This window comes from Homo sapiens, chromosome 9 (assembly GCF_000001405.40).
Source record: "Homo sapiens chromosome 9, GRCh38.p14 Primary Assembly".
Lineage (NCBI taxonomy): Eukaryota > Metazoa > Chordata > Mammalia > Primates > Hominidae > Homo > Homo sapiens.
In genome coordinates, this window is record NC_000009.12 from 8501352 (window position 1) to 8526671 (window position 25320).

Genomic DNA, 25320 nt, shown 5'->3' on the forward strand with positions numbered 1-25320 from the left:
CGATAAAAATTCTTCTAAACCAATCCCTCAGTATCTCCCACCCCCACTATACTGACTACCCAGCTTCAAAAAAGCTGCAAATAGTGCTAGTATTTACTTGAGGGTCTGATGATGCCTCACAGATGTTTCCAAGCTTTCACTTCTATATTCTAGAATGAGGATGGTTTACATACAGTACTCATTTGTGAAAGGCTTCTTAAGTGTGAAAAGTTGCAATAACTGCTAATGCCCTTCTACCAGTTCCAATTAAAAATAAATAAACAACAAACATAAGAGGGTTCACTCTATCTGAAAAACTGAGTTTGCCTGACCAGTTTTAATAATAAAAAAAATGTTAACATTGATCATAGCCCATATACAGTGAGCATGCAGAATCAATAAAGGATGAAAATGCAGAGTCCAAGATTTACCTACCCGAGGGTAATGTCAGGATTGTTGATTCTGACTGTAACTTGTACTTACCCTACGTCAGCTTTCAGCTTTTTAATTATAACTCTTCTTGAGACACCATTGCTAGTGAAGAATTAGACCCCACCAGCAAAATTTGGTAAAATCAATAATAATCATTTATCCCTTACAAAATGTCAATAACACAGCCATTAAAAAGAACTGTTTTTTTAAAAACCCAAGTATCAACTGGAAAAGATATAATTTCTGTGCAAAATTTCTTTCATTTTGTACATAATTATTCATACAATGTAGGGTTTATATTAGAATTAGAAGACATACTTTCTTACTGCCCATTCTAAATTAAACTAGTCACTTTCTGAGCAATCATTTTCCATCAAATTAACCAAGCATTATGATTTTAAAAAATTAAAAATCAATAAAAGACAGCACAATTACTATCATTATTTAAAACTTAATAATATTATGTTCCTAAAGAAAAACAAACAAGTGGGCAAAGATAACACAAGTCCATACACACACGCATATATTTTTAAAGCAATGTATATGGTAGACTGAATAAAGCAATCCTATATTTCATATTTGAATGTGTAGTCTGGGGATTTCCCTAGACTTTGTGACTCTTAACATTACGGAGTGCCAGGTGTATCCAATTGTTCAGGGGATTATCAGTCTTTCTTAATGTACGTGCCTTGTGTTCATTATTACAGTCCATCAAAATAAAAGCTCTCTGTACTGACAAAAAAGAAATCCTCATAGGACAGCCTTGTAAATTTGGAATAAGATTTGCAAAACCACTAGAATCTCATTTTTATTGATTCTGACTAGGGGTTCTTATATCTCAAATTATAAAACTATTTTACATGCATTATCATTATTCATAATAAATTGAGTTGTTCATGTAACAGCAAGGACTCATCTGTAATTCTTTTTAAAAAGCTGATTTGGTTTTCACTAGGGCTATCTTCAGACCTCCTATTTTGTGAGAATATATTCAACACCATTTGAAAATTTTACTTTAATAAAATAAGGAATAGATAAGTGTTTGATGTGCTTATAAAAAGTCTATTCAATATGTATGTGTGTGTGTATATATATATATATACACACACACACATATGTTAAAAACTGAGGTTTGTAAACCATGGGAAATATAATATTGAAGCATGTAACATTTCTCTTAATTAAAGGCTTGGTTTTTAGAAATTATCTTCTACAATACTATTTATTAGCCTGCCTGGAATTCAAAGCAGACATACAGAGAACGCATTAATTTACATGCTTACGCCTTTAAATGAAAGAAAATTTTATGGGAATAAACGATAATCACTAATAGATTAAACATGATCCTAATCATTTTCATGTGAATAATCATGCTTTAAAGAGGGAAAAACATAAATTTTATTATCAAAAAACCCTGAAAGTTTTCAAGTTTCTATAGAAAATGAAATGGTGGAAAACTTGCTTATTTGTATGGAAGGAAATGAATCTTTTAAATCACAAATTTCATGTTTGCTGATAGGTCTAAATATGAGGTTAACAGAGCATCTTCTTGACAAAATTCAATGTATTTCTACTACAGATATCTATTGTATAATTCACTATGTCAAAAAGTAAAGACAAAATATCACACAAAGAAATCTAAGAAAATAACTCAACAAAACTCTTCAATTCAAGGTAAATAGTATTTTTTATGAATGAACTGTAAACACATACTAATAAAAAGCAATTAATAATAATAAGCCACCAAACTTTCCACCAAAAACAAAATCCTGTATAATACTTTATGCAAAACAATCTGCCCTGGGAACAATTAACCCCCATTGTGATAAACACAGCTATGCTTAAGGGTAACAGCTCCAAAAAGAAATTGAACCCCAGGAAACAAAATACAATTTAGAATTGCAAATATGTTTGCGATTATTCCATTGTTTCTTAATTTGTCCACATACAGATTTTCTGTCAATGTTCCAAATTTCCACAGGTACTACACACAGAGTTAATAAGAAACAAGTCATCAGAGCTGAGCTTTTCTTAGTAGAAACAAATACATGAAATAAGGACTTGTTTGATTGCAAAGCTAAAGCCTGTGTGCTTAAAAAAATAAAGTTTTTTTTTGTCTTTTGCAGCCTCTTTCATTTGCGAAGCCCTCCTATGATTATTTTACAGGGTTCTCAATGTGAATTTTGCTTTAAAGACTTGTAATTCATTAAACAGGGCTTGATCTAACTCCTTTAACCCACATTTCACCCATGGACGTCTACTACCTTCTTTAAAAGTCTTTCAGTGTAGGAAGTGGGAAGGTGGGATCTGTTATTTGGATCAAGTGATGAGACCAAAAGAAGTCACAGTTACACTTTCACCTGTGAAGTGTGATGCATACTAACCTAGAGACTAACTATTAAGCATATTAGCAGGTTTGCTTATTGGTGAAGGTGAAAGCTAGCAACATCTCCCCGAGGAAATAAAAAGGCAGAAAGTAAGCAAAGAGAGACACCTACTTGACTGCATGGTTCTAGCTGATATTTCTGCAGTAGAAGCACCCAGGCCTTGAGGGGAGCGTGCAGCCAGACGGAAATAGTATAAGCTGTTTGGTTTCAGTCCTTGCAGCCTATATGATGTCCCTGGCTCAATGGTAATTCGTTGCTGGAAGCAATAAGAGAATGTGGTCATCTTCATTAAGGTTCATGCAAATACTTTTTAATCATACTGTCTGGACCATCAGATTTCTATCATCAGGATTATAATCTCATCAAAATATCACCAAAAGAGTCAATAGTGAGTATCCAGGGCTATACTAAGGAAATTATATAATGAAAATATCAGTTTAAAAGGCAAGTTTCTACAAAGGTAACTGGAATAAGGGAAGTCAGAGATCTTTTTAATGTTGACACAGTCAGCCAAATACATCAGATAAGACGAAGATTGAGAGGCCAACACCCATGAGTATGTTCTGCCGTTAAATGTGTGTATGTTGCTGTGACACAGATCACAATAGAAAATGACACCTGCCCCTGGTAGTGGAATCTGCCCAACATGTGCAATTTTAATTGAACAGATGTCTACTCATCTCCCATGACCTTCTGAAATCTCAATTGGAGGCAAAGAAAACATGACCAGAAGTAGCAACAGTAACCAGTATACAATTTACAGGAGGTTGCTATAAAAGAGATTTGAAATTGCCAAGTTTTAATGGGTAAAATATCACGTTAGTCACTAAAGAAAGTTGAATAATTTATCTGAAACCACATTACTACCCTAGGTTGATCTAAAATAACTGAAAACCTTACTTTCTTTGTGAATAAAGAACCCACAGCCAGAAAAAAAATAGATTCACAAATGTTTGTGGACTTTTGATATACGATTTCGTTAATCAAATGCTATAACTCTCACCTTCCGTGCTTAAAATTTGTCATTTAGCAAAAATATAAGTGTCTATGGGTAATCAATCTTGAACATCAGCCTGCAGTAAACCTTAAAATGCAAGTGAATACATAATCTAGTAATGGTGTGTGTAATCTTAACACTTTATCAAATAGTGTTTGCTATTCACACAAACAAATCAGTTAAGAAGAATTCAAGGCCGGGCACGGTGGCTCACGCCTGTAATCCCACCACTTTGGGAGGCCAAGGCGGGCGGAACATGAGGTCAGGAGATCGAGACCATCCTGGCTAACATGGTGAAATCCCATCTCTCCTAAAAATACAAAAAATTAGCCGGGTGTGGTGGTGGGCGCCTGTGGTCCCAGCTACTTGGGAGGCTGAGGCAGGAGGATGGCGTGAACCCAGGAGGCAGAGCTTGCAGTGAGCAGAGATCGCGCCACTGCACTCCAGTCTAGGCGACAGAGTGAGGAGACTCTGTCTCAAAAAAAAAAAAAAAAAAAAAGAAGAAGAAGAAGAAGAAAAATTCAAATATAAAACTAGAGAAACCATCCCTAGGGTGTTCTGACTTACAAATACAAAAGTTTTCAGGAATTTTAGATCCACCAAGTAAGAAATAAAGAAATTCCCTAAATAAGCAATTGTGGAGCACAGTAGCTATGCCAACATTTAAGCATCACAATTCTCCTTTACTCTTTGTATATATGTATGTTTGTGTCTATGTATGCCTGTATTTTAGTTTGGTGGTCGTGATGAAGGTTTAAACAATTCAGTGCTGATTTACACCTTACAGAAAACACCAATAGCTCAAGTTGTACCATGAAAACTTTAAGTCATATCTGCATTTCAACTATATAACTTTTTGAGTGCTTGATTTATATTGGCTTTGTTAGCTAAATCTAAAACCACTGCATTTAAAACCTATTCTTTTGAGATTCTGCTCAATTCAAACAGATGGAATAAAACAGAAGTTTACAAGAACATATTAATTTATTATAACATCCAAAATTATGTACTACAAGTTAATTGAGAGTAGTTCATTTAGCATGTGAGTTTTTTAAAAGATATTCTTTATTAGAACACAGGGACTGTTTCACTTTGTGAAGATTTTTTTTTCAGATAAAAAATGCTAAGAGGCATAATAAAATGAATATATGTGTGAAGTTCTCAAACACAGTGCCATTAACTCCTTTTGTCCTAATGTTCCCCATTGGATTTAACAATAATAAAAGAAACATACTTACTACTATTATGTATTCTCATTCTGAAAATGTTAGATGTATCTTAATATCGATTTCTATCATGTATTCAAACTGCACTCAAGAAGCAGTAGACCCTAACCGTTAACAACACAGACTCTGGAACTCGACTGCCTAGACTCAAATCCCAGCTCTGCCATCCACTAGTGCGAGACTTTGAGCAAATTATTTAACTTTTTTTCCATGCCTCCATTTTATTATACGTCAAATCGATTAATAAGAAAGGCTAGCTCCAGTGCTACTATAAAAATTACATGCATTATTGATGGTGAAACCCTTAGAACAGTGCCCATTAATGAGTTAATTATATTGATTTTCATTTCTCTTTTCAGTGACGATCAACAATTGCCATGCCTTCTACAATCTGTTATTTCATTTGCACAGCATACTCAAATGTTATACACACTCACCTTCATACCAAATACTTTTTAGCAAACAAACATTTGCTATTGGGGAATCTTTGAAACCAGGGTGGAAAAATTCATCTAGCCAAGGACTTTCATTAACATATAGAGCTAATTTAGTCACCTGTCCCCACAGTGACTTAAATACTTTCATGAAGAAGAGAAAGTCCTCAAGTCTCATTGAGTATTTATTCTTCCATAACCTGATACATCTATGGAACTTGGAACTCTGTCAGAAGCACATTCCAACAGGAACAAGAGTTATTTTGTTTTGTTTTTCCCCAAAGCCTCCAAATAACCACTGTTTTTTGTCATTGTTGTTGTTTTGGGGTTTTTCTTGGGGGGGAGGGGGAGTCAAGTTCCTCTTTTAATTAGTAAATCTTTTCCATCAAGGTCCTCAATAGCTCTCTGACCAAGAATGTGGATAAATACACAAAAATAAAAAAGTGGCCCCACGTAATGAATAATTCCCAAGGTGAGAAGCACTATAGTCTTACCTCCTCTCCATGCTCCCCATCTTTGTAGACCAGTTCATAGTTGGCAATGGTATCTGAACGTGGAGGTGTCCAAGAGAGCAAAATACTTGTTTCAGACTCAGGTTCTGCTTTGAAGTTTAGTGGCTGCCCTGGTACTAAAAACAGGGAGGCAATGGATTGAACTCACAATCACCAGGAGTATTCACAAAGTTCTTCCATTAGCGTAACCTGCTTAAACCTTTCGAAATCTGTACACATGTACCAGCTTAGTGGAAAACAAGCTCCTTTACCTTGTCCAAGTTAACCTCTTTGTGTACAGGGCAAGTACAATGTTATAAATCCTGCTCTGGAGTAGTAGAACATCTACACAAGATATAGTAGAACTAATAAGTATAAAGTATATCGGCCTCTGAATTCAATTTTAAGGAAAAAATTCTTTACTTCATGATATGGTTGTTAGTAATAAATAATATAATTTACATAAAGCACTTGAAATATTGCCAAAAGCATAATAAGTACAAAATACCTAAAAGTATTGTTATTTACAACTGAGTAGGAACTTACTCTCTAGCACTACATGTAACATTCAAAATTATTTCCAATTAAATTTATGAAATCCTACCTTTACGCCAATAACAAAACCTAACAGGCAAACAGAATCACTCAGCATTTTTTCTTACCAGCCCACATTTTGAAGAAGAGGTGTAAGAAAGGAAAAACAAAACAAAACAAAACTCTATCACTTACAAATAATGACTTCTAATCTCTAAACTATGTTAAATTATTTAAAGAACTACACCTAATACAAACAAAATATCCTCTCTAGTGCCACAAAGCTAAACTACTACAAAAATTAAGAAGTTTATAGGATACACTTATCAGAAATATGGTAACTTAAAGAGATCATCTATAATTCTCATGTTAGCCATGTCATCTATTCAACAGACAATTTGGAAGAGCTGTTTATCAGCTGTAACAAAGAATGGAAAGTCTATTCAGTTTAAAACACCTTACTCAAATGAACTAGAATAATTAGTAACCTAAACTTTCTAGTCCACACCTAAGCCTATCAGTTCCCCTCTATCCATTATACACAAGGCTGAGTCAGGGTGTCGCTGGCACATCTAATCGTACATTGTTCTTGGCCACTGTCTGCTCTGATTGGTGAGTGCCTATGCTTTCCCAATTGTAAAACATTTTGATCATTACCCTTGATATTATGGCATGTCTCAATGTGCTGTGGCTGAACATATGTTCATATTCCCTCAAGTTTAAATAAGAATTCCATTTATATTTAAAGAAAAAAAGAGAACAATAATACTTCATAGCAGAGGAGTAAAAAAACATCTAAAGTGTGCTTTAAAACATCTAAAGTGGCAACCTCAGCAAAAATATTTAAAAATACATATAATACAGTATAATTTGTAGTTCAAAAGAAGCCTTTGGAGAAAATGTATTGCTTTCCTTTTCTTTTATAGTTATGTCTGTGTACTATGGCTTTAAAAAATGCCCTTTGTTAAAGCAGTCTGCAAGAATGATTTGTAGAATTCCTAATGATAATTTTATTCCTCTGGTAAGTCAGCCTGTGTATATATATGTGTGTGTGTGTGTCTGTGTGTGTGTGTGTGTGTGTGTGTGTGTGTGTGTAAAGGAATATATGTTTGGACTGATGCTTAAGGTCACAAATAATCAGTGCTTCATATTTCTAGTTGCCTTCATCATCTTTTCTCTCTCTCTTTTTAAAAATCACAGGCCTTGAGAGTCTCATTGATTTGATGCCTCTGGGAGCTTACCTTCTGAACAGAGTATCACATTTTTTTCCCCAGTACCTGCCCAGTGGGTGACCTAACACAATCATTTAGATTGAAAGGTGGAAGCGAAAGAAGATAAAAGATTGAGAAGCAAGAGGCAGAGGGACAGAGGGGAACAAAACACAAATAGGCAAACTGCAAAGCAAATGGAAAATGCATTATTTCTAAAAGGGAAATACCAAAAGCACTGGCAGGAGCAATAATGGAAACAAGAGTGACCAGATAGATGGGAAAATTATGATAGGACCTAACCTAATATTCACATGATAAAAGGGTTTCTCAGGCTAAAAATGCACACATATGCCTATGTATGCAGTCACTGATTTTTTTCCTAGTTTTATTTGCTTCTTTCTTTCTCCCAATTTCCTGGGAAACAAGAAAGTTTGTGTTAACTCCTGACTCAAACCAAACCGGACTACAGTATGGTCAAGAATTAGAAACACAGACAACACTGAAGGGCTGCTCTCGGGATAATAATTGCTTGTTACGCATTTCTTCCCTGCCTAATGCTAATAATAAATTGACATTGATTGAAAACATCTTGGAAACCTAATTAACTTTTTCTTACTTAAACTGTTTACTTTTTGCTTTTAATTTGTCTTGAGTAAATTCCCGGTTGGTCTCAATATTTCATTCTTGTTTAGTGACACAAGCTTTGTCTGATCATCTAATTCTGCTTGTTTCTATTAAGAGCCCCTTCCTTCTAAATAATGACTTAAGTAGGCACATCCAAGTCTCAGAGAGTACACTGTCCTTTTTATTCTTGCACAAAGCTAAAGGTTGGCTAGACGACTTGATGCAAAGTGTCTTCATCTAATGTACAGGGGGTTCTCTCCTGTTCTTTCCTTATCCTTCTTTTGAAATGGTTCGGAGGTTAACTTCATTTATTAGATTTTAAACTTGTGGTTCAGGCTTAGGCATGGTAACTCACATCTGTAACCCCAGCACTTTGGGAGGCCAAGTTGGGAGGATGGCTTGAAGTCAGGGGTTCGAGACCAGCCCAGGCAACATAGCAAAACCCTGTCTCTACAAAATAATAAAACTTAAAAAAATCAGCTGGGCATGGTGGAGCATGCCTGTAGTCCCAGCTGCTTGGGAGGCTGAGGTGAGAGGATCACTTGAGTCCAGGAGCGTGAGGCTACAGTGAACGATGACTGAGCCACTGCACACCACCCTGGATGACAGAGTGAGACCCTGTCTCTAAAAATAAATAAATAAATAATAATATATAAAATAAACATGTGGTGCGAATACAAATGCTCAGAGGTGTCAGGTAATTTAGATGAGTGAGAAGGCCATATGGGGCCTGGGGCCCGGTGGAGAGTGCCCACCACCTGAAGAGGGACCGCAGGCCATGCTCAGTGACAGCAGGTTGCTGCCTTGTGAAATGTGGGCGCACTCTTGTCCCAGCTTCCGATTTCCTTCACAGAAGTTGATCATGAACCTTCCAGGTAAAACCTTTCCATTCTTAATTACTAAAAATTAATTGAATTTTAAAAGCACTGTATGGGGCAAAATGTGTCTACAGGCTAGATTCAGCATATGGGCCATGAAATAAACTTTCATGATCTCAGGCTCCAGGCTCATCAATGGCTTAAGAGTGCACTACCCACACTTCCTCGGGAACTGAGGGTGTACCTAACGATATCACTTCCTCAGGGCATTTTGTCATATTTGAATCCACAACCATGAAGCTGAGGACACAAAGGAATTTTTTTAAATAAGGTATAAAATGAATGTATTTTTAAATTCCCAACATATTGGTCCTAATGAGCATAATATATGTATATAAGAAAACACTTTGTTTTCTCTGGAACACTTGAGACATGGGACTACTTTCATTATCTGTCTATTGAATTTTTATACCAAATATTGGGTCTACAGAGGTTCCATTTCACATTTCTATTAATGTTTTCTCTCTATATATGTATTTATACATATAAATGTATAAACGTAAATATTTACCTACATTTTATTTATATATTTATTTAGTTTTGAGACAAGGTCTTACTCTATCACCCAGGCTGGAGTGCAATGGCACAATCATGGTTCACTACAGCTTTGACCTCCAGGTCTCAAGTGCTCCTTCCACCTCAGCCCCCTGAGTAGCTGAGAGTACAGGTGTGTGCCATAACACCCGGCTAATTTTTTAATGTTTTTTGTACAGACAGGGTCTCAATATGTTGCACCAGGTTGTCTGAACTTCCTGGGCTCAAGAAATCCTTCCACCTCGACCACTCAAAGCACTGAGAGTATGGGTGTGAGCCACTGTGCCTCGCCTTCTTACACACAGATATTTTATGCTCTTGTAATCACTACACATCACGGTTTCTCACTGGTATTTTTTTTTTTAACCTTCACTTACCAGTCCTTTGTCTATGTATATCTTATTTTATTTTTATTTTATTCAAGAGTTTTTCTGTGTTGTAACATTTCCTTCACTGATTAACTGAACATAAATTTTATAAGAAAATGTGAGATTCTGGGAAAATCATGGGCAAATAAAAACAACATATCCAGACCTTTAAGCAGTTACTTCATATTCAAAGGAGAGATATGATATTGACCATAAACCAGATTTACAATAGGACATGGAAAGCAAAAATAAAAGAAGCAAAAATTTTTCTTTAATATTATATTTAAGAAGTCATTATATACTGTAAAAGTATGTCCGCCCTCTTGATTACTTACTTAATGTCCACAAGGAAATAGAAATGTGAGCTATCGAGTCCCTAAAATGAGATCATAATCCTACTGATACATGTTAAGTACTTGAGTATTACTATAATTACACTCTATATAAATATGTGAAAGCAACTCCAAGACAAGGGATGAAAAAGACTAACAAGAGAAACCTTCACATTATCAGATGCTGATATATTAGAAGAGATTAATATTTGAATAAAATGTAGAGATTATCTCTAAAGAAAGGTTGACACATATTGCACTGCTAAACAACAGTTTCATCTTGCTATAGTATAAATATGAAATATGACCAAAGATACTAGAAAACCCATGATTGCTAAAATATCCAGTATTTTATTAAGGTACATGTTTTAAAATGTGTGTATCTAGCATATTGATAAATGATAATGACAATAAAACCGACAGCCAGAATTATAACGGTAGTAAAACAAAGCAAAATTCAAAACAAAGAGTCTGATGTGTAAATGCCACAAATATATCATTGACAAAATAAGTACTTAATACACAAGCATCAGCACAAATCTTATTCTCAACAGTCATTAAATATAAATGAGAAAAAGTTAAATTTTATTATAGTTGTATTTATATCCAGTGCTCCTTTACTCATTGCTAAATCTATTCAGAAAAAGCATTTAAATTGGACTCATAACTTTGGTTATTAGAAAGCAGTCTTTTTCTAGTTTGCTTGTATAGGCCTGTTGACATACACTAATGAAATGATTTATAAACTTCTGGAAACCTAACAGACTTTGTCTCTCAATGTCATAGCTTATATTTTAACACTTTTGCAATGCCCAGAATTTGTAATAGCATTAACATCCCTAAAATGTTTAAAGTTGATACTAGTCATTAGTATTTGATAAATATATATAATTCTTTATCTTTTGAAGGCATATACTGTTAAAGGTATATCCATATAAGTCAGATGATTTTCAAGAATCTATTAAATGAATAGATGTAATTAGAGGTCAGACATGCTTTCTAAATACAGTTCAGAAAAAAGACACATATTAGGATTTAAGATTTATAATGCCTCTAATTAGCATGAACATCAAGCAACATTTAATGCATTAGGTTTGAGATTTAACTTACTACTTCTTTGTCAGAGTTTTATTTCTACTTCTTCTATAAAATATAGTTACCCTATGCTTTTGGTACAATTACCTTTACAAGAAAACTATAGGAGGTCCTTTTTTCCTTCCTGAATGTGTTTTCTAATAATGAAAATATTTTTCTAGCTTAATATAAATACTTTCCTTGTCAATGGCCATATATTCCCCATATTTTCAAGGTAAACTAGTTGCAAGTGACTTTGTAATGCCAGAAGTTAGAGCTATGGAGAACTGAGAAGATTGACCCATATTTCAGAAAATAATCATCTCAATGAAAGTCTTTTCATATTTAAAACCATTTAAAGATTACTCAACACGGTCAACTGTACTAATGTTCACAATCAAGGAGAAAAACTCTCTGACTGTAAAACAGACAGATCATATTCTCATTTTCTGTATTACCAGAAATACACAAATTTACATCAATCCTTCACTTATGTCCATCTGTGTGACTCATATTAGATCAAATCAAAAGTGAGACTTCTCTCTTAAACTCACTTTGATCCTAAATACTGTTCTTTTGGAATCCGGTTTCAAACAAAAACAGGAATGTGAATGTCACAGAATGAAAGATAATAAAATTAAATGAGTACCTTTTAGACACAGAAGACATCAAAATGTACATTTCTGTGTATTTGTATTTAAAATGTACTTCAATTCCTACATATTATTGATCAGTAAATTTTTATAGGGTTAGAGGAGAAAAATTGCAGTGAAAATAATCATATCCTTAAATTTTATATCTCATAATGGTTATCGTCCTAGCAATCATCCTAAGAATTCTTTAGTCAGTAACTTTCTTGTTACTCCTTTTTCTTAAGGAGCAGCTCGGCATTAATTACATCAGAACAAACATCATTGTTTTTGGTAGGTGTCCACTAATATCCACTGGCCTTTTTAATTAAGCCTATAGAACAGATCAAATCATTGTGCTATTTTGGAAGGTTTTCTTAGCTTATTGAGCTTGGCAGGCAGTCATTACATCACTATATATCTTCTCAATCAACATGTATTAAAAGTAAAACTATTATGGAAGATTCTTGGAAACATCTTCATGCAAAAAAGTCAGTTAAACAGAGTGGGAATAACTATTCTAATATATCCATGTCCCATTCATCTAGATTTTCTGAGTTCTGTCATTAAATTAAATCAGAGCTTTTGAAAGTAGAGTCCCCAGCTCACAGTAACTCAGTTGCCCCTCTGATAATGCTACCTTCACTGAGTTATGATTCAATGTCATATTCTGTCCACTGGTCATATAAAAAAATAAAGATATGGTCTGTCTACTTCAACATTACTTCTATATTTTTCAATAGATTACGACTGAAGGCATCAGGGTTTTTCATTTAGCATTCTAAATACAAGGATTCTCACAATTGTCTAAGATTCACATTTTGGTTGGATTAGGTTTAGGAAAAATTTTGTTTCTCAGATAATCTTCCTACCATCAGAAAATAAAAATATGAAACACTATAGATTTCTATGTTTAAACTGGTGCTTATAAAACTTAGAGCCAAATTTATTTAAATTTAGTTAAATTTCAGCCAGATTTACTGCTTGAGTGTAACGATCTTTCATAAAAATGTTCTTCCTTCCACTTCTTTTAGATAAACTTAGTTTTTTTTTTTTTTTCCATTTCTAAATGTTTTCATGTACTTCTGCACTGGAATAATCTAATAGCTACCTCAGTGTTTCAGAAGTAAGTTATGTATAATTCTTAGATAAATATATGAATAAATGAAACAATTGCGTTTTTCTCTCTTGCCTCTTTTCATTATTGAATACCTACACTGGCATAAAAACACAAAAACTATCACATTAAGCAAATTATTAATTTAAAAGGTAATGGTAGTTGATAATGATTAGGCTCTGCGTCCCCACCCAAATCTCTTCTCAAACTGTAATCCCCATGTGTCAAAGAAGGGACCTGGTGGGAGGTGATTGAACAATGGGGGTGGTTTCTCCTATGCCGTTGTCGTGATAGTGAGTGAATTCTCACGAGATCTAATGGTTTTATAAGGGGCTCTTCCCCCTTTGCTCTTCTCTCTCCTGCCACCATGTGGAGAAGGTCCTTGCTTCCCCTTCACCTTCTGCCATGACTCTAAGTTTCCTGAACTCTCCCTAGCCATGTGAAATTGTGAGTCGATTAAACCTCTTTCCTTTGTAAATTACTCAGTCATGGGTATCTCTTTATAGCAGTGTGAAAATGGACTAACACAGCAGTTAAAAGTATCCAGAATCCCTGGATTTAAATTCTGCTTTTGCACTTAGTAACCTTACGACCTACGGCAAGTTTCTGAATCACGTTTTATCCTCTTTGATCTTCAATTTACTCATTGGCAAGTGGGATAATTCCACATCTGCCTAATTGGTTTGTGAGAATAAATACATGCAAAGTTCATAGTATAGTGTCCTCCATATGTTAGCTACTATTATGATGATTACATATTAATAATTTAATGTTTTACATATTAAGTTACAAAATGTTTCCCTCCATTATCTAATCTATACCCTGTTATGAATTTTATTGCATCCCACAAAAATCCATATGTTGACATCCTCATCCCCAGTACCTCAGAGCATAACCTTATTTCAATATAGGATCTTTGCAATGGAATTAGTTAAGATGAGGCCATAAGAGTGACCCCAAGTCCGTTATGACTGTGTACTAGTGAAAAGGGAAATTTGGGCATAGGCATGCTTTTGGGAAGAACATAATGTAAAGATGAAGGTAGTGATCAGATGATGCTTCTACATGTCATGGTACAGCAAAGATTGCCAGCAAACCAACCAACAGAAGTTAGGGCAGCAGCATTAAGTATATTTCCCTCACAGCCTTCAAAAGGAACCAATCCTGCCAACACCTTGATCTCAGACTCCCTAGGCCCCAGAACTGTGAGACAATAGATTCCCGTTGTTTAAGCCACCTAGTATGTGGTTCTTTTTTACAGGAGCACTAGAAAACAAATAGAACCACTACACTCTATAAGGTGGTTATTATTATAGACTAGAAAACTGAAGTTCAGAGAGAGATGACATAAATCACCTAAGGTGACAGCTAATAAACGAAAGCTTGGGCTTCAAACCCTGGTTATGTTACTCCAAGACCAGGGATTGAAAAAATAATCACAGCTGAGAAATTTAAAAAGCTCAAAGTGGAATGTAAGTTCCCATATAATTTCTTAGAATTTTTTAATTGTTATGTAGCTGCTAAAACAGTATAATAAAAAGCAATCTCATAATAGTTAACCACTTTTAGTCAAGAAAAAGCAAAACAAGATTTACGGATGTCTACATTTCCCAATGAGAAGCTTTTTTGGTAAGAACAGCCTACAGTATTTTTTTTCTGCATATTACTACAGCAAATAAATACAGAAGTACTGCAAATGGCACACAGAGAAGATATATGGATAGTTTTTAATACAACTGTGGTGAGACATATTTTTATAGCTGGCTTTCCTACAATGTCATAGAGAAAAGAGTAAATCCATGAACAAGCCAATAAGAACCAAATAATGGTATGAAAATAAAGGCAGGCGAACTATTAATATAAATGTGCTCTGAGATTCCTAGAAGCAAGGACAAATAGTTAAACATACTTCATATAAAGACCATGCCATGAAAACAAGTCAGTGATTCACAGGTATCAGTGAAATAGATGATAGGTACATTATCTAGTACTGGCATCTGAGAAAATTTATTAATTCATTGCCAGGATTAGCAATGAGTTATGTCTACAGATTATACTGTCTCCAATAATATGATTATTATGTAGATTTCAAAACAAGCCAACAGCATGATGCCAAAACATTCGTAGATTAATGCAGGTTTAAAAGATGCCAACACAATAAGGAGTCAAAGAAGTAGCTCTCAGATGCTCAAGAATAAACTTTTTTTTTTTTTTTTTTTTTTTTTGAGATGGAGTCTTGCTGTCACCCAGGCTGGAGTGTAGTGGTACAATCTTAGCTCACTGCAAACTTGCAAACTCCATCTCCCAGGTTCAAGTGATTCTCCTGCCTCAGCCTCCTGAGTAGCAGGAATTACAGGTGCCTGCTACCATGCCCAGCTAATTTTTGTATTTTTAATAGAGATGAGGTTTTGCCATTGGCCAGGCTGGTCTCAAAGTCCTGACCCTCAAGTGATCCACCTACCTCCCAAAAGTGTTGGGATTACAGGCGTGAGCCACTGTGCGTGGCTCAAGAATAAACTTTAGAAGAGGCCTGTTATTTTATATTAGCCCAAAGCCAAACTGATCACCTTGACTCAAAGACCAAAGAGGTTTGATAACCTCTTAGAAAAATAAAACCACTGGGAGGGCCAAGTTTTCCTTCATAAAATAGTCTAATGTCTGCTGTAGCTCTTAGCAAAGTTAATCAATCAGGCCCAATGTTCTATCTGAGATCTCGGTAACTGTCTCTCTTTATCCACTGAGGCCATACAGAGAAAAACAGAAATTAAAGCCACTCAGAGAATACTTATTTTCAAGCCAGTAGCTTCTGGCAAATATAAGCCATTTAAATACCCAAGGCCCTGTAACAGTTTTATTTTTTAGCTTTGTCTTGAACCATCCAATCTTACACAAATTAAATACTCTTTTGAGACCACTCTACCATACTAGCTATTACAAAGAAGTGTCGTTTTTCTATTCTCAAAACTGGGCATGGGGGAGACATTGTTCTATCTCACATAGAGAAGTCTTCAAGTCATTCCCATACAAATTAAAAAGAAGGGGTGTTAATGCATTGTTCTGCTCAAAATGATTAGTTTTTCAGATGTCCATGCTTGTTCCTTTTCAGATATCTATCATCTGTTGCTTTGAAGCCCTAAATCTCAAAAATTAAAATTCATACCATCTTTGTTCCTTCTTTGTTTTTGTCCTTCTCACCTCTTTGCACCAGCCCTTCCCTCCTGCCCTATTTCCCTCCTCAACCAAACTTACCTCCTGTCTGAGTGATGACTTGTATGTCACTTGAAAGGGGACCATCTCCAATTGAGGTAAAAGCCAGGACTTTGACAGAATATGTTTTCTGGGGCACTAAGTTGCCAATAGTAGTGATTTGGCTGTCAGCTACATTGTGTTTCATCCAGTTGTTGACATGTTGAGTGGGATCCATTGTATAATAAACTCTATATCCTTGGATCTGTCCATTTGGCTCTTCAGGTTCCTTCCACTGTACCAAAATGGTGGTCGAACTCAACATTCGTGCCTGGACATCCCTCGGGGCACTGGATGGTGCTTGCTCTGAGGTTTGTGTTAGCACAGGTTCGCTGGGAGGCCCCCGCCCAATGTTATTGACAGCAACAACCCTGAATTCATAATCCGAGTAGGGACTTAGTCCAGCGACACTGTAGCGTGTGGTCGCCACCCCATCAATTTCTTTGTAAAGTTCCTCAGAGTTTTTAGGTTTATGCTGAATTATGTAATAAGAAACAGGCTCAGGGTTCCCAGAGTCCCACGTCAGTGTGATGCTTGTAGCTGTGCTCTCGGTCACTACAGGAGTTCCTGGAGGTTTGGGTAAGGCTTGGATGGGGGAAGATAAAAGACAATGACTACCCATCATCCCTATAATATTTCAAAAATCTATAAACTCTACTATGAAAATGACAGGATTATGTATCTACTGAAGATTTAATTAAATGAAATTATAGCAAAGAGTAGTTTTCTGAATGGCCAAGAAGGACAGGAAAACATTCATAGGTGACACAAATCCTGCTTTCCTAGAAGGGCTTGATAGCATATTTTTAGGCTTGTATCCAAATCCTCTACTTATTAGCTAAGTGATCCTGCACGCATTTCTTAACCTCTCTTTGCTTTAGTTTCCTCATGTGGAAATGGGAAAAATATTATTATTTAAGTCATATTATACAGCTGTATGTAACTGTATTTCATGGGTTTGCTGTGAAGACTAATGAGCCAATCCACTAAGATTCTTAGAATGTAACTGGAACCCACAAAAAAACCTTAGTATTAGCTGCAGTTATTACTATTATTATACCAAAAGCTTGGCCAATTAGCCCCTTGCCCCAATAAATAAATGGTATAACTGAAATACCGATAAACATTGAAAAGAACAAAATGTGGAATACATTGAAATGAAATTAAATTGCGATGAAACAATAACATCTATATTCTGGTAAGACACAATACCATTACTAAAAATTTTCTTGTAAATGAAAAACCAAAAATTTTAAGGTGCAAAAGAATAGAAATTTCAAATCAATGCTTTATTCTTAATATTTAAAAATTGCTGAAGGAAGTAAATTAAGGCACATTCACCAATCACTTTTTAAGGTATGTTATGGTCATATTAATATGCATTCTATATTCCACATCAGAAATATCCAATGTAGCTACATGACAAATATTTGCAATAAAATCCATCTTTTTAGAGGTCTAATTCTTTCTTTTTAGCAGAAGAATACAAATCAAAATACTACTAATTAAAAATATAAACTGTCTGCTTTGCTGACCTCATATTCAAGTGCCTTATTCTAAACAATGATTCTGAAACGCAGTGCTATTAGGGTAGGAAGGGGCATTCTAATAGTTGACTCTTTAGAGAAATCTCAAAGGGTAACATTCATATAATCAGCCCATTAGTGTCCCTGTTTCCTTGCCAACATAAAGGCAAGAAGTATAACACCCCCTAGAATGGCAGCTTTTCAAGAGCAGCAAACTTGTACTTCTGACTTACTGTAAAATTGTGAATGCCTAGAATGCTGCCTGGCACTCGGTAGGTTTTTAATGAGAATCGTTAAACAGTTAACTGAATAAATGAGTCAGCACCCATTCACCTCATTCTCTTCAACCTGTTCTTTTGTTTTGATTTATTTTAATTTGCCATTAAGATTCACTCTTATGTTTTATTTGTTTATTTTTGAGGTGGAAAAGACAGGGAAGTGGCAAGAGTCAGGAAAACAAAGATGAGAAGGTGAACAAAATATTAGTTTAAAGTGGCCCCTGCTTTTGAATTCTTAAAGGTCTTCAGCAAGCCTTCAAATATTTAAAGCTGAAATGGTAATTATAAAAAAGGTGATTCAATATTTACACACTACTCAAAGAACTACAGAATGATAGTATTTTGTCAAGGGAATTTACTGAAAATAATAATAAAATGAAATTTGTTTAAATATTCTGACCTGGCATTTTTCAAGGCTGTGTGTGCTCCAGATTTCCCCTACATGTCTTTCTGAACTTTCAAAGCAAATACAAATATTGCTAATTAAAGCTGTGCTCACTGATATTTAGCTGACATTATTAGTTTCACTAAGTCACATTTATTGTACAGTACAGGTTTTATGTCTGTAATGTACGGATAAATACATGTGTGCTTATTATATTAAGGTTACACAATATAACATTATTTCACGATTGTAAATGTTGACAATGTGTACCTTTGTTCTCATGTCATTAGTTTTATATAGCATATATTTGATATATACGCTTGGTTAGAGATGCGATACCAATTATAACGTGTATTGCATTTTCTAAGATCACCCCCTAGAATGGCAGCTTTTCAAGAGTAGCAAACTTGTACTTCTTACTTGCTGCTGAATTCCAAATGCCTACAACATTGCCTAGGAAAAGAAGATAATTTGTGTTCATTTTGCAATAGTTCTAGCCATCTGCAGAAAACTTAAGTTGCCCTATGTCTGACTCAATTTGCAAACACTTTCTAGAATTCTATAAACACTAGGGGAAAAAAAAACGGTACCCTTACATGCTTGTACTCTTTCTCTTTAGTTCAAAAATATTCATGTAATATAGTACTTTGGTTATATTTAGTCTGTTTTTTAAAGGAAAGAATATTCCTTGAGCACTCATCTATGCAAGGTGAAAGATAAAACTACAACAGAATATACTCTTACTTGCCTTTTGATTTTTAATAGTAGGGCTCACCAAAAAGTTAAATCATCTATTACTAGACTATGTTGATTTCAACTTTTTTTTTCTTCTTTTTCCTTTGTATTTAGAAATTTTAAGCATTTATTAATGCTCATATTGACTTTTCTTGGGGTTCTTATCAAGGTTCTGGTCTAGTATGTAGACTGTACACATCAGTCCCACCATAATGGTCGACCATGTGTAAAATTCCTAGTTCTGTCTGGTTAGTGCCTGGGCCTCCATGGACTGTCTTTTAATATTCTGATGATTATCTCTACATAGGCTGCCAGATACTTCCAAGAAAAAATCCGCCTATCTAGGCTTATGCATGTTATATAATACCACAGATATGATTAGGTTATACACACATTTAAAATGCTGAATAATGAATTATTTTAGATTTTCAAGGATGGGCTTTCTAGAGGCATTAGTCACTTGGCTTGAGTGTACCCAGATCCTCAAAGCATAATCCATTGAGCATACCTTTGACAGTGATCTGTGCTATTGCTTCAATGACACCCAGTGTTGACATAGCAACACAGGTGTAATTTGCTGACTGTCTTACATCATTCAGTTCTAGCACATTTCTTCCTATTGGCATATCATCTTCAGGTGTCAGATCTTCTGCCCCCAACATCCACTTTACATAAGGCATTGGTGACCCCACGGCCACACAGGTGATATTAACGCTTCCGCCTGGCATGATTTCATGATTAGTGGGTGGGATAGAGAATCTTGGTGGGACACGGCGAACTGGAACAAAACACAAGGGAAATGATAACATATACAAGGCAAGAAAAAGTGGATTATTAAACACATGACATGCACCGTACAGACACGATTCAACAATTGAAACATTGTGGATTGTCCAAAAACAAAACATAAAGAAAAACTGTGGATAATACAGACCATACAAGTATGGTGTGTGTATACACAGAATTATTTATTTAGTTTAGTCATTGATATCTTAGACACACTAATACAAAAGTTGATTCAGACCTACAAGGGCCCCACAAAAAACTATCTACAAACTAACAATACACAAACATCATGCATAAGATAAACACAAAAACATATACATGCAGGCATATAACAATGATTCTATGCAGGCATGTATATGCAGAAAAGGGGGCTGGAAGGTCACCAGCATGTTTAAGTTGAGTATCAAAACCAACTTCAGTGCTGTGCACTTCCAGTTGATGTGAATGTAGGTGTGGGACCACACTGTCACATCCCAGCCCTGGAAAACATCACCTAGAGTACACTGAAAGTGCACTTTATGTTTTCAGATTCATAGTGGATGCAGCCTCAAGACCTCACACTAACACTGGAACAAACACAGAAATGTATATACATATTGATTTACAGTCACAGAAGAAGAAACAGGCTAACACCAGTAGAGATACTGGATTGGGTCATGCAAGGCATGCACAAGATGGAATCTCAAGGCCCGTGCTAAGGATATTGAAAGAATGGCTGGAATCCAAGACAGCAATGACCGCAGAAGAAATAAGGGGGCAATAGAAATAAACGTGAAAGGGGGAGGTAAAGTATAACGATTGAAACACAGGGACTTAGGGGATGACAGGGTTGAAAGACAGAAGATTAAGCTCAAGTTGTTAAAGGTAAGGATTGCAAATTCAGAAAGGGAGCTGGGTGTTTCACATACAGGATTCCATTCAATTCATATCAAAGGTAAAACAACATAAATGACAACAAAATCTTTTAAAAGGCTTTTTATGCCCACATTCAAATTGAGGGACACTGGATCTAAAACATACAGCAGGACATGACATTAAGAGAAGAGATCATATTAAAGCAACATAACACAGAAAAATTACCAAGCAATTTCAGTTCAGTGTTCCTGCTTCAGATAATCTGCAGGTTTATGTGTGTTTAAGTAAATGTGTTTTGGATGTGATACAAGGAGAAAGTGAAAGATAAATTGGTTTCATCTGGGGCTTTTACTGGCAAAATGTCATACCATAAGAATTTGAGATCTAGAGGGTAATCTTTAGGGAGCACACCTTAAATACATTTAATAAAGATTTTTTAAAAATTATAAATAAACTGATAAGTAACCTCATAACCCCAAGAAGAAGATAAGTAATTCTGTCTGAAAACTTTTTGGCTGCTCTTAAGGTCGAGATAAACCTCCGCTTATTTGAGATGGCTCACTGCAATGGCCTCATGGGTGAATGACAGTCATAGGAGAAGAAGAGAAAGCTAAGCATGCCTCCTGCAGCCAATTCACAGAGGTTACACAAAGCAAGCAGGAGCCAGTGTAGACTCTGAGGTATCAAAGAACATATCAAGAAAAATGGAGGAGAGTTTAGTCTTCATGCTTGGGATTAGGGGAGAAACTAGAAAAAGTCATTCTATGGGCAGCAGGCATCCTTATAAGACAGAAATTAAAGGCAGGGTGGGAGATGGGGACAGTGGAGCAGGAAGGAAAGCAGGAACACTGACCAAGTTCACTGGACCTTACAGAGTTAAGTGTTACCAGTTACCATGCACCCAGGTACATTCTCTCCCACCATGCACCACAGTTAGATACCACCAGCAAGCACCAGAAGCCATGGCCAGGGCATTCTCTGCTAAAACATACCATTAACCAAAAGAAGAACACAATGCAGCTACATTCATTTCATTTGTATTCTTTGTTATTGGTTTAATTAATAGTTTTGTAAGGTGGGTAAAAAGTAAAAAACACACCAACCTTCTCGCAGCTCTGAGGGATGTAGGGGGTTTGATGCAGAACACAATGAAATGAGGAAAGGAGAAAAACAAGGGAAACACAGAGAGAGTAAAAAGGCCATATCAAGGCTTTCAACTGCTACTTGAACATCTTTATTCGCTCTAGTTCATCCTTCCTATCTCAGCTGGAAAAGTTAGCAATATCTCACAGACTAACATGGTATTAGAAACAATAGCTAGCATCATTTTGAAATTTTCCATGGAAGAAGGTACACATGCCTCATGCAGCAAGGGAGGTCACTATTGTGGAAAAAGGATCAAGGGACTTTCGAAGAATTTAGAGAAGAAATGACTTTCTTCATATTTCCCCACCCCAGACTCCATAAAAAAAGAAAGGAGAGAAAAACATCCCCAGGGAAACAAAATTACCTCTAACAAAAATTTCAAAATCAAGCTAGGTATTTTCTTAAGGGAACCCATCCTATTGTAACTTAAAGCCCTCTCAGTCTTTTCTTTAATCCCACCCCCACCCATGCCTTTGTGGTTATTCACAGATATGTAGACCAGGAATAAGAACACTTCCACTGGATAAAAAAAACTACAGGAACTGGCTTTGAGAACTCTCGGGAAGAGGAAGTACTTCTTTCTAGTTGAATGGAAAGGCATAGCCATTCATAAGCTCACAGTTTAATCATTTCTATTACTTCATGAGAACATATGAATGTATCCTCATAATTCATTCTTGTCTCAAGGACAACTCACATTACTATTTAAAATACAGTTTTCCATTGCAATCAAAAAACTAAATGTTTCGGTAAGTCTTAATAATTCAAACAAAAAGGTGTACATATGTGCACATATATGAATACACATGTATATATAATACTATGTGTTTATAATTAAGAAAGTATACGAAGACAGAAATGCAACTGTGCTATTTGCATGTAGCACTTGTTTTATAGAGTTAGCAGCTTTATCCTTACAGTTTCAGCAGCAGGGGTCATGAAGACATAAACACCTTTATGCTTGGAATTGCACAGAGAACTGATTAGTAGCACACCAAGCAATTATTTCAGGGGTTTAATAAGGAAACAGAAGAGAAACAACAGAAAAAAAGAGAAAGAAAAAGAAGAAAACCTCAAACAAATGCAAAGCACAGTTCAATCAATACAGTAAAAATAGAAACCAAGATGTAAAAATGCAAATATACTTACAAACTCCAAGCCTCAGGACAGATTATACTCAAGAGTTGTCTTTTGGAGTTAAACAACACATTTTAAATTTTTAACTTTTCTATTTACTAACATGTTTCAGCTACGGTCACTATTACCAAACCAGCTTGTTAACTACTAATATAACAACACGGACCCTGCGGCGTCTCAACTCCCCCTGAGCCTGAATGAAGAAGCGATGCCAGGGTTATGTCATTCCTACCTCTGACATATAAATTGGCAGGAGCGGAATAGCGAGTGCCCGCGCTGTTGGTGGCAACACACTCATATTTTCCTTGGTCAGACTCTTCACTCTGCTCAATCTGAAGGGCTCCTGTATGGATATAAAATATATTGCCAAAGAGATGATCAGAGAAGGCTTTCTCAGTTCAGAAAGCTAAACCTCTTAACAATATGAAAAGCCCTGCAAAGCGAAGGTCCACTCAACGTCGATTCAATCTCTTGCTAAGTTGCACAGACAGAAAATGATGCGATGAGAAAAACATATAGAGATTATTTTTTTTTTTTACATCATCAATGCTAGCATTAGAAATCAATATCTCTTTTCCCAAGCAAGACTTCTAGTCATAATTAACACTCTTATTTCCTAGACTAATAAAATGAAGATGGGTGAGACTGCTTCAAGGAAGTATGGCTTTTAAATAAAACAAAAGATTAATTTTTGGTTTTGTTTTGTTTCATTTGGGTACCAAAAGTGGCGCAAAAGATAGGTACGCTCAAAAAAAACCAGGCTGGGTTTTCAAGAAAGTCTTCTGCTGAAGAGAGCCAAAAATACGCAGCGAGCACAAAAAGGCTGCACAAAGCAAAAAATTAAAATTAGTCATTATAAATTATCAAAATATCACTTAAAGAAACAAAACTCCCTTAAGACATGCAGATTTTTAAGAAAAGAAAGACAGTTTTCCACGACTTACAATCATTTATTACGTTTGCTGAAAAACAAAGAGCAGTTGAATTAGAAGATTTTTAAAAAGTTAAAAGGCATGGCCTGTGCCACAAGGAAGAGCCAACCAACCACTGCTTGAGGACCCTGAGATGGATCCCCTAAGACACCCATCAAAATCCACCAGTGGGATTAGCAGTGTGGTGTCACAAAACCCCAAGAAAAATACAAAACAAGAATTACAAAAGAAATGCACACTGAGTCGAAGTATGAAAAACCAGCAATACCACATACCACCAAGAATACTGAGCACCTTTTGTTTCCATAGCCTGAAGGACAGAAGATCCAAAAATCCGGAGACGAGTAATCCAAGAAAAAAAGAAGTGGGGAAAAAAGCATTGCTGTCAGATTGTAGACGAGTGGGATCAGGTGGAAAGGGGAGTCATTCTTTGACTTTTAAGACATTAAGAGAAAAAAGAATTGAAGAACAAAAGCAAAAACCTTTTGAAAGATAAAGACAAAAAGCAGATGCTCCAGGGTGTCTTCTGCATGTCTGCCACTGTTCTCCAGACCACCTTGGCTTTGGTCCAGAACAAGAACAGCTAAGGAAGAAAAAAAATGATCTTTTTTTTTCTCCGGTTGGACAAAAAAAAAGGAAAAAGAAGAAAAAAAAAAAGAAAAAGGAAAAAGGAAGAAGAAGAAAAGGAAAAAAAAAGAGGGACAGATGGTACGCTGTGACTGGTCTGTGGTCTAAAGACCTGGATATGCTTTCTTTGAAGCATATCACAACTTAAATAATCATTTTCATAAAGAAAGAAATGAACAAAACAAAGAGAGAAAGAAAAAGGAAAGGAAAGTTCACAATATGAGAGTCACTGATCATAACCAAACAGTACAAAGAAAAAAAAAAAGTTGATGGACATTATTGGAATGACGCTGAAAACAGGACAAAGATGAGAGGGATGAAAGGACAGAAAGAATGAGTAAGATCATTCTGTGAACGTTAGTTCAGCACTCTTACCTCTTATTGGTGTACCACCTGGGTGGATAATATGAATGCAAATAA

At 35.6% G+C, this 25320-nt stretch overlaps 1 protein-coding gene across 55 annotated transcripts in view, besides 1 other annotated feature; it reads right to left on the bottom strand.

The window, feature by feature from the left end:
• The window catches only part of PTPRD (protein tyrosine phosphatase receptor type D), a 2298757-nt gene that overhangs the window by 187106 nt on the left and 2086331 nt on the right, over positions 1–25320 (bottom strand). For 34 of the 55 annotated variants that reach the window (NM_002839.4, XM_017014961.3, XM_017014966.3 and 31 more), the window contains 7 exons: positions 25276–25293; positions 23574–23684; positions 22162–22173; positions 19926–20195; positions 16497–17078; positions 5950–6083; positions 2910–3054 (listed from right to left, as the gene is read on the bottom strand). In NM_002839.4, the coding sequence (NP_002830.1) occupies positions 2910–3054; positions 5950–6083; positions 16497–17078; positions 19926–20195; positions 22162–22173; positions 23574–23684; positions 25276–25293 (1272 nt within the window). The remainder of the gene's footprint in view (positions 1–2909; positions 3055–5949; positions 6084–16496; positions 17079–19925; positions 20196–22161; positions 22174–23573; positions 23685–25275; positions 25294–25320) is intronic. The other 21 variants (XM_006716827.5, XM_047423649.1, XM_047423651.1 and 18 more) reach the window with 3 other exon arrangements.
• Positions 13265–13766: an enhancer, noted in NCBI's record as "NANOG hESC enhancer chr9:8514616-8515117 (GRCh37/hg19 assembly coordinates)". NCBI's record gives its function as "activates a minimal SCP1, AML or CMV promoter by ChIP-STARR-seq in primed H9 embryonic stem cells {active_cell/tissue: H9 hESC(primed)}" and the evidence as "EXISTENCE:reporter gene assay evidence [ECO:0000049][PMID:30033119]".